Source organism: Homo sapiens, chromosome 2, assembly GCF_000001405.40.
Source record: "Homo sapiens chromosome 2, GRCh38.p14 Primary Assembly".
NCBI classification, from domain to species: domain Eukaryota; kingdom Metazoa; phylum Chordata; class Mammalia; order Primates; family Hominidae; genus Homo; species Homo sapiens.
In genome coordinates, this window is record NC_000002.12 from 118,359,521 (window position 1) to 118,370,103 (window position 10,583).

Sequence of the window (10,583 nt, forward strand, 5' to 3'; positions counted from 1 at the left end):
GCTGGAGTGAAGTGGCATGATCTCAGCTCATTGCAACCTCCACCTCCTGGGTTCAAGCAGTCCTCCTATCTCAGCCTCCTGAGTAGCTGGTACTACAGGCACGCACCACGACGCCCAGCTAAGTTTTGTATTTTTAGTAGAGACGGGGTTTCACCATATTGGTTAGGCTGGTCTCAAACTCCTGACCTCAGGTGATCCACTCGCCTAGGCCTCCCAAAGTGCTGGGATTACAGGCATGAGCCACCGTGCCTGCCCAACCTTCCTTTTCAACTTTTAAGAGTTTCAGAAAGATTGGTGTTAAGTCTTCTTTAAATGTTTGGTAGAGTTCAGTGAAGTTCGAATATTGATTTTGGTTCCTTGACTTTTGATTCCTTGATTACTGATTGAATCTTAGTAGTTAGGCCTATTCAGATGTTCTATTTTTTCCATAATTTAGTCATGGTAGGTTGCATATTTTTAGAATTTGTTCATTTCATCTAGTTTAAACAATTTGTTTGCTTATAATTGTTCATAGTACCCCTTTATAATACTTTTTACTCTGCAGCATTGATAGTAATGTCCCTACTTCCATTTCTGATTTTAGTAATTGGAATCTTCTTTTTTTTCTTGGTCAACCTAGCTAAGATTTTGTCAATTTTGGTGATCTTTTCAAAGAAACTATAGTTGGTTTTGCTGATTTTCTTTATTATTCTTCTATTCTTTGTTTTCTTTATCTTTGCTCTAATCTTTATTATTTCCTTCCTCTGCTAGTTTTGGGTTTTGTTCACTCTTCATTTTCTCTTCCCCTAATGTGTAAAGTTGAGTTGTTGATTTCAGATCTTTCTTCATTTTAAAGTATTTAGAGCTATAAGTTTTCCCTTTAGCATGGCTTTTGCTGCATTCAATAAGTTCTGTTATGTTTGGGTTTTGTTTTCATTTATCTTAGATATTTTCTAATTTTCCTTGCTATTTCTTCTTGTACCCACTGGCCGTTTAAGAGCCTGTTGCTTGGCTGGGCACGGTGGCTCATGCCTGTAATCCCAGAACTTTGGGAGGCTGAAGCAGGCAGATCACGAGGTCAGGAGTTTGAGACTAGCCTGACCAACATGGTGAAACCCCATCTCTACTAAAAATACAAAAATTAGCCGGACGTGGTGGCATGCGCTTGCAATCCTAGCTACTCAGGAGGCTGAGGCAGGAGAATTGCTTGAACCTGGGAGGCGGAGGTTGCAGTGAGCTGAGATTGTGCCACTGCACTCCATCCTGGGCCATAGAGTGAGACACCATCTCAAAAAAAAAAAAAAAGGAAAAAAAAAGTGTTGCTTAATATCCACATATTTGTGAATTTTCTTCTCTTATTCATTTCTAGTTTTACTCTATTGTGATCATAAGTACTTTGTATTGTTAAAACCTTTTTAAGTTTAGTAAGACTTGCTTTGTGGTATAATATATTGTCTATCCTGGATAATCAATAAACACTTGAGGAAATGTATATTCTGCTGTTGTTGGGTGGAGTGTTCTGTATATATTTGATAGATCCAGTTGATTGATAGTGTTATTGCATCCTCCATTTTCTGATTGATCTTTGGTTATTCTATCCATTACAGAAAGTGTAATATTGAAGACTCCAACTATTATCATAGAACCGTCTTTTTCTCCTTTCAATTCTGCCAGTGTTTGATTCATATATTTTGAAGCTCTGATGTTTGTGCCATATATGTTTGTAATGGTTATTTTGCGGTGTGTTGACCCTTTTCTCAATATATAACATGCTCTTTGTCTATTTAACAGTTTTTGACTTGAAGTTTAATTATCTGATATTAGTATAGCCACCCCAGCTATCTTTTGGTTACTGTATGCATAGAATATCTTTTTCCATCCTTTCACTTTCAACCTACTTATGTCTTTAGAATTAAAGTGAATCTCTTATAGAGGTTATCTAGTCAGATCGTGTTTTTAAAATTCATTCTGCCAATATATTATTTTAATTTGAGAATTTAATCCATTTGTGTTTGGAGTAATTGCTGAGAATGAACTTCTTACTTGTGTCCTTTTATTATTTGTTTTTGGTGTTTTATAGTTTTTTCATTCCCCCCCATTCCCTCCAATACTGCTTTCTTTTGTGTTTAGTTCATTTTTGTAGTTTCACATTTTCATTATCTTCTCATTTTCCCTTGTGTATATCCTATAGATACTATCTTTGTGGTTATGACAGTGATCACATATAACATTCTAAAATTATAACATAATTTGAATTGATACCAACTTAACTTCTGTTGCATATGAAACCTCTACTTCTATGAAGCTCTTCTGTCCATTATATAATTGATATCACAAATTGTAACTCTATGATACAGTTTGGATTTTTGTCCCCTTCAAATCTCATGTTGAAATTTGATCCCAATGCTGGAGGTAGGGCCTAGTGGGAAGTGTTTGGGTCATGGGGATGGATCCCTCATGAGTGGCTTGGTGCCCTCCCCATGGTAATAAGTGAGTTCTTGCTCCATTAGTTCATATAAGAGCTGGTTATTTAAAAGAACCTGGCATCTCTCTTGCTCCCTCTCTTGCCATGTGAGGTGACTGCTCCCCCTCCACATTCTGCCATGAGCAAAAGCTTCCTGAGGCCTCACCAAAAGCTGAGCAGATGTTGTCTCATGCTTGTACAACCTTCAGAACTGTTAGCCAAATAAACTTCTTTTCTTTATAAATTATCCAGCCTAGACATTCCTTTATGGGAGCACAAACCAGCTAACATACTCCATATATTGTGTATTCACTAACAGAGACTACCTTTTTTTTTTTCCATTTGTCTTTTAAATTCTGTAGAATATGAAAAGTGATGTTAGAAACTAAAATTACAATAATATTGGTTTTTATATTTGCCCATGTATTTACCTCAAGTAAAGATCTTTATATCTTCATGTGACTTTGAGTTACTGCCTAGCATCCTTTTATTTCAAAATGGACTTCCTTTAGCATTTCTTATAGGACAGATTGAGTGGTAATGAACACATTCAGCTTTTGTGTATCTAGAAGTGTCTTAATTTCTTCATCATTTTTGAGGGACAATTTCTTTAGATGTAGAATTTTTGATTAACAGTTTTTTTCTTTCAGCACTTTAAATACATCATCCCACTGCTTTCTGGCCAGCAAGGTTTCTGTCGACAAATTGACTGATAATATTAGAGGATCCTTCGTATCTGACAAACCATTTCTCTCTTGCTGCTTTTAAGATTCTTTCTTTGTCTCTCTTTGTTTTCCAGCAGTTTTATTATAATGTATCTCAGTATGGATTATTTTGAATTTACCCTACTTGTAGCTTGTTGAGCTTCTTGGACTTGTAGATGAATACATTTACAAATTTAGAAAGTTTTTGACCATTGTGTCTTCAAATAATCTCTCTGCTTCTTTCGGTCTTATCCTTCTGAGACATCTATAATGTTCATATTGATCTGCTTGATGGTGTCTCACATATCCCTTCGGGTCTGTTCACTTTTCCCTATTCTTTTTCCTTTTAGCCCCTCAGATTAGATTATTTCAATTTTCCTGTCTACATGTTCACTGATTTTTCTGCCTGCTCAATCTGCTGAATTCCTGTAGTGGTTACTACAATTTAGTTATTGCTTTTTTTCAGCTCCAGAGTTTTTTCTTTTAATAACTTGTATCTCTTATTGATGTTTTTATTTCTCATATTCTTTTACTAATTTTATTTAGTTATTTGTCTGTGTTTTCCATTAGCTCTTTGAGCATATTTAAGACAGCTGTTTTAAAGTCCAATGTTATGCTTGAAATGGAATTATTTCTGCCAATTTGAATTTATCTTACTTGCAGCTTGTTGAATTTCTTGGATTCATAGATTAATAGAGTTAATCAAATTTAGGAATTTTTGGCTATTTCTTCTTCAAATAATCTCTCTGCCCCTTTCTATCTTCTCTTTCTGAGAATTTTGTTCTTTACATATGCCATGTTTTATTTATTTATTTATTTATTGTACAGGCTTTGTGATTTTTTTTTAATGGAAATTGGGCATTTGAAAAAACAGCCACTCCTCGCAGTCTTTGCAGACAGAAGCAGTCATTATGCTCTAAGCCTAGGGATCAGCCTAAGGTGAGACCTTGGAGTCTTCTCAGGTCTTTTTTGAGATTGTGTTTTGCCTGGGCTTATGTCTGGCTTTCTCAATTCGCCTATAAACACGGCTGCTTTTGAATGTCTTAATTTCCCAAAGAGTCTTACCTTTCATTTTCCTTCAGGCCTTAGATGGTCTATTGTTTGTCTCCACCCATAATCTCTTGCCTCAGGTATCTGTGGGTTAATAGTCATCCTGTGGCTTTCACAAGCAGTGGCTGCTGCTTTTTCCCACCTGAGATCTAAGTTAAGCAACACAGAGACTGGTCCTTCAGGCAGTCCCCAGAAAGGTTAGAGCTTGAAAAGTATGGTCTGCTCTGCTCTCTCTGGTTCAATTGGGCTATAGTCTCCTCATGACCAAGACCATACCATACCAGAGAGGGGCTGGGGAAGAAGTGAATAAAAATGCCATGAAAATGTCCTACTAATTTGAATGTGGCTTTTTTTTTTTTAAATTAAATATTTGCTTGGTTGCTGTAGACTTTTCCTTTATTCCAGAGCTCCTATAAGACTAGTTCAGCTAGTTTCTGGTTGTTTTCTGAAGTTTTCATGGGAGAACAGAGACTGAGAACTTTTCTATCTACCATTTTGCTGCCATCACTACATTTTACCCCTTTTTAAATGAGAGCACCTAATGAAGTTATCCAATCCATGTCACACTACTGTATGTGGTGTTTTAGGGCAAAAAACTAAAACTAAAACTAAAACTTTTTAGTTTAGTGTAAACTAAAAAGTTTGCATATTAAAAATGTTGCATCAAGGAGTCTCATATACTTTCAAACTTGATGCAGATGATGAGATTTGAATTTTGAGCTGTTGCCACAATGAAATGAGACTTGAGGAGTGCATGTATTTTGCAAGTGGGAGAGATATGAAATGTTGCTGTCAGGGGATATACTATGGTAGACTATTTTCAAAGATGACCAACAAGAAATTCTCTCTCTTGTACATACATACCCCTTCTTCCATTGAGAGACAGAGTGTATTCCCCCTTCCATTGATCTAAGATGGCCTTATAACTTGCTTGGACAAATAGAGTGCTGTTCAAATGATGCTCTTGGACTACTAAGCAAAGGTCTTAGAAGGTCTTATAACTTCCATTTTTAGCCTCTAATTCAGCCATCATGTAAACAATCTTAGGTTAAGTCACTGAATTGTGATAGACTGCCTGGAGAGAAACACTGTATACAGGAGCACCAAGACACCCCAGCTGAGCCTCAGCTAAATGCAGTCACATGCATGACACTCACTACCTTGGGTGAGCAAAGAGCCACCCAGCTGAGCCCCACTAACATGAGATATTAGCCTTCCCCTGAGCCCTGACCAAATTGTGGAATCATAAGCAAACAAAATTATTGTTGCTGTTGTTGTTTTAAGCCATTATGATGTTTTTTGTGGGGGAGGGGGAGGAAGTGGTTACATAGCATAGCCACACTACTTATCTAAGACAACTATTTAATTGATTTTAATGAGTAATTTAGGTTACAAGCCATTTTATTCTGTGTAACTGACTTACAAATTACCCCTGTTTAAAATGAGACTCCTTAGATACCATGTCCTTCTTTCATTAACTTCTACATGCTAGGGAGGAAATAGCATACATTTGGGTATACTCAATTCTGGGTATTAAATTATCTGTTTTTTATAAGCTAGAGGCCCGGGTAAGTGACTTCACCTTTCTGAGCCAAGGTTTGCTGTTCTGTGAAATGAAGATAATGATTGTGACATAGATTTTTGGGAAGATGAAGGATACTATGGTGTGATATTTGGTCCATATGGAAAACATGAAGCACAATTCCTAGCACACTGTAGGCATGTAAATGGTGGTAATTAGAGGAATCCCCTCCTAAAAGAGGTGTTCTTAGATATTGATATTTTCTCAGAGCTCAAAGAAAGGAGGCTAAAAAGGCAATCTTGTAGGTGTTTAGTTAATTAATTAAATGATAACATGAGTTTAAACTTGTAAAGGAATTGGAGCAGTGCTTGTCTACATAATAATAATTAACTGAGTATAATTATTGTTGTTATTATTGTTGCTGCTGTTATTATTTGGTCAAATGACTTCACCTAACATCCCTCTGGTCACGCCTAGGAGACTTATCCGGCCTTGTTTTAGGTCCTGGTGCCTTCATGCTGGTGAACCACCTTTGGGACCCATCTCTCTCCCACAGAGAAAGCAGTAACATCACAAGTCTGTATTCTACACCAAATAGATGTATTTATTTCATTCTGACACCGTCAATGAGCCATGACTCCCCACTATCTCAGAAAATTTTGCTCTTTGGAGCAATAGAATGGCTTTATTATTATTGTCTGAACAACATAGACTTGAAGAAATACTTGATTGTTAGAACCAAAATGCTCCTAGAGATGTTCCATGTTTCCTACCTTTCTTCCTTTTTTTTTTTCTCTTTTCACTTACCTGATAACTTGCCATGTTCCAAGGAGTATCTAAAAAACAACATATTTTCCAGTTTGCTTTATATTAGTTTAGTTGTTTCTTAGGACATTTTTCAAGTGGTCAGTTCGTGGTGACATACTTTTTTTTTTTTTTTTTTGAGACAGGGTCTCACTCTGTTGCCCAGGCTGGAGTGCAGTGGCGCAATTTCATCTCACTGCAACCTCTGCCTTCTGGGTTCAAGTGATTCTCATGCCTCAGCCACCCAGGTAGCTGGGACTACAGGCATGTGCCACCATGCCTGACTAATTTTTGTATTTTAGTACAGATGGGGTTTCACCATGTTGGCCAGGCTGCTCTCGAACTCCTGGCCTCAAGTGATCTGCCCACCTTGACCCAAAGTGCTGGGATTATAGGCATGAGCCACCATGCCTAGCAATGTGATTTTCACATAGAGGGTTTCATCTACAGTCTTCGGAACTACTTTGACTTCATTTATTTGCTGTAAGGTCAGAGTTCCACGTATCTTAAATCCCCCACCAAATAGCCCTTTGCTAAGTAACCTGGACGCTGTGAGCTCAGTGGTGGCTTTAGATCCTTTGTATTTTTCAACCAAACTTCCAAGCTTACTTACAGTGCTAATTATCTAAGCTGCAAAATAAATCACCCTAATACTTTGTAACTTGAAACAACAATAATCATGTATTATCTGTCACAGTTTCTGTGGGCTAGAAATTTGGAACAGCATGGCTGGGCTGTTCTGACTTGGGATCTTTCATGAGGTTACAGTGAGATGTCAGCTGGGGCTGCAGTCATCTGAAGCTTTGACCAGGCTGGAGAATCCATTTCCAAGATGGCACACTCAGATGACTGACCATTTAGTGTTAATTGTTGGTAGAAGGTCTCAGTTGCCCTCCATGTGAGTCTTTCCACAAAGTTTATTGAGTCTCTTGACAGCGTGGTAATTGGCTTCTCTCAGAGCAAAAGATCTAAGGGAGCAAGGAAGAAACTGCAATGCCTGTTGTGATCTAGCCTGGGGAATCAAACTTCCTCCATCACTTCCCCTATATTCTGTTGGGCACTTGGCAGGCCTTCAAGGTGACTTCACAATGGAGAACATACTAGAAGATGAGGACTACTGGAGGTCATCTGGAAAGCTGACTGACACATCATCATACTTCACCAAATTTCCTAGAGTAGGTTCAAATCTAAAATTCTGACCCGCTCAGGTATTAACTACGTATCTCAGGAAAATGGTTCTCTTATACTTTGTTAAAGTACTTTTCTCCTTGAATTTCTTCAGAGCTGTTATTCTTGGTCAATGTTTCTAGAATTGACTATCTTATCTATACAACCCTTAACAACCTCTCTTATTTTAGAAAAAAAGGAAAGTAGAGAGAAAGAGAAAAAGAGGGTGGAAAGTAAGAAAAAGGGGAGGGAAAATCCTATTCAAGGTGTTTAACCTTGTTGTTAAAGTGTTCTGGAGTGCCAGTTGTCACACTGAAGGCAGTGTTTTCCAAGATTTCATTTTAAAGAATCAGGCCCATTAATAGTTTCCAAAATTACATTTCTTCTCCTACTAGTTGTATCAACTTGTTCTCTGAGTTTTTTTAAAAAATACAGGCTTTCACATGGCCTCCGTGACATGAAAAGTGGTATTTTTATAGACATGATCTTTTTGGTTCAGGTCTTCTCTGTGTATAAGAGACTATTTAGCATCTGCCATCAAATATACAGAATATGTGCCAATTAGAATTTTTGCCCGTGTCTGTCATGTAGATCTAGTGCTTTGGAAAAAATAAATATTTTTGCGTTTTAAAGCTCAGGTCTGCATTCATGCTGCTCCCCACAGTTTGGTTTTCCTTTTGCTAACCTGGCCAGTTTTTTTCTCTAAGCCATGTAGGCCTCCTCGTAAAGCACAAGGGTACTTACGCAGGATACTCTAAGAGGCAAGACTCAGGCTCTGGCATCTGAACCTGTGTGAATCATGGCTCTGCCAATTATTAACTGAAAGACCATTGGGTAAATTATTGGAAGTTTCTAAGCTTCAGTTTTCTTATCTGTAAATCGAAGATATAAATCGACAACTTTATAGGGGTGTCAGATAGACACTGGCCCTGACTGCCATCGTCGGAAACTGGTTTTGAAATTGAATCTAAAACAGCACTAGTCATTGTGTCATTGTGTGAAGTTAAATGGCGCAAGTGAAAGTGCTTTGAAAAGCTAAGACTCCTGTGACAGTGTTCTAAACACACCATATGTGTGTAGAAGAATTCAGGTAACTGCTACTCCCAGGAATAGCCACTTCGTCACACTAGTAGATTCGTTCAGTTCAAAATAGTGGAGTTAAATGTCAGCTTAAACATAATTCAGACATTTTAAAACTTTAAACTCAGTATTGAATGGAAATCAAGCTTTACTTTTTGGAGGAAATAGGTCTCTGTTTTTGGTGTCTTGACAGACACAGGGTTCTCTATGGTAGTGGGTCTTCTTTCGATGGAACACTTGTGTTAATCAAAAAAATGGCAGGGTGCATGAATCTCAACAAAATATTTTTATTTATAAAATATACCCATTTTCTATAATAATATGTACATTAAGAATATACACTAAGAATAAGAATTCCCACATTAAGTATATTGTTTTTGTAAAACAATGTCTGTCCAGCTTATTGTCCAGTTAATAAAGTTAAAGGTCCTTTAAAAGTTGTCATTGTAAATAAAACAACTTGCAAAAAAGTGTTCTGGAATAGAATTAACAAAATATGATCTCTATTCATGAGTTGGAAACTGGAAAAAGGATTCTTGAAGTAAATGTTCTGAGTGGAGTTACTAGGATGTCTTCCAGCCTCCTGCAGTCAAGGAGTACCACTGTATTGATTAGTCCGCATGTAGCAGGGCTCCCTTCATCACATCTGGGGACTTGTTTTCTTTTTCTTTAATTTCATTTTTAATCCTCTTAGCTTTAAATATACTGCCTAGAGACTCAGTTACTACCCAGTTTGTGGGTTTTTTGGGATAAATGTAACTGGACAGTTTGTTAGCTTTTCAATTAAAAAAGACACTTAGCCCATGTGGGATGTCATTTTTTATAATCAGTGTTCCCATGTGGGGAAAATTATTCACACTACTTGCAAGTAAAAAATAATTTAACTTTTAACATTAAAATATGTGGTAAAACCCAGAAAACATCCAAAACAAAAGAATATACATAAAGAATAAAATTAAAATTGTAATGTAATGAATAAATAAAAGTAGTGGTTGCTAGTTTTTCTTTGTGTATTTCAATGGATTACCTTGTCCACACTGTGAGATTTACCTGTCTCACTGTGGAGACCACTTTCTTGCATGTCCGTGTGAAGAGACTACTAAACAGGCTTTGTGTGAACAATAAAGCTTTTTAATCACCTGGGTGCAGGTGGGCTGAGTCCAAAAAGAGAGTAAGTGAAGGGAGATAGGGGTGGGGCCGTTTTATAAGATTTGGGTAGGTAAAGGAAAATTACAGTCAAAGGGGGATTGTTCTCTGGCGGGCAGGAGTGGGGGTCACAAGGTGTTCAGTAGGGGAGCTTTTGAGCCAGGATGAGCCAGGAAAAGGACTTTCACAAGACAGTGTCATCAGTTAAGGCAACGACTGGCCATTTTCACTTCTTCTGTGGTGGAATGTCATCAGTTAAGGCGGGGCAGGGCGTTTTCACTTCTTTTGTGATTCTTCGGTTACTTCAGGCCACCTAGGTGTATACGTGCAAGTCACCAGGGATGCGATGGCTTAGCTTGGGCTCAGAGGCCTGACAACCACTGCTCACTCTCAGTTGTACATGAAAAATAGTCAATTAAAACAACAATGAGATACCACTGTAGAGCTATTAGAATGGTGAAAATCTAAAATACCAGCACCACCAAATGCTGGTGACAAGGTAGAGCAAGGAGCTCTCATTCATTGCTGATGGGAATGCAAAATAGATACAGCCACTTTGGAAGATAGATCTGGCAGTTTCTCACAAAGCTAAACATACTCTTACCATTTAGTCTAGCAATCATATTTCTTAGTATTTAGACAAACAAAGTGAAAACTTACATTCACA

At 37.5% G+C, this 10,583-nt stretch overlaps 1 annotated feature.

The window, feature by feature from the left end:
* Nucleotides 9,742-10,512: an enhancer, noted in NCBI's record as "NANOG-H3K27ac hESC enhancer chr2:119126838-119127608 (GRCh37/hg19 assembly coordinates)". NCBI's record gives its function as "activates a minimal SCP1, AML or CMV promoter by ChIP-STARR-seq in naive H9 embryonic stem cells {active_cell/tissue: H9 hESC(naive)}" and the evidence as "EXISTENCE:reporter gene assay evidence [ECO:0000049][PMID:30033119]".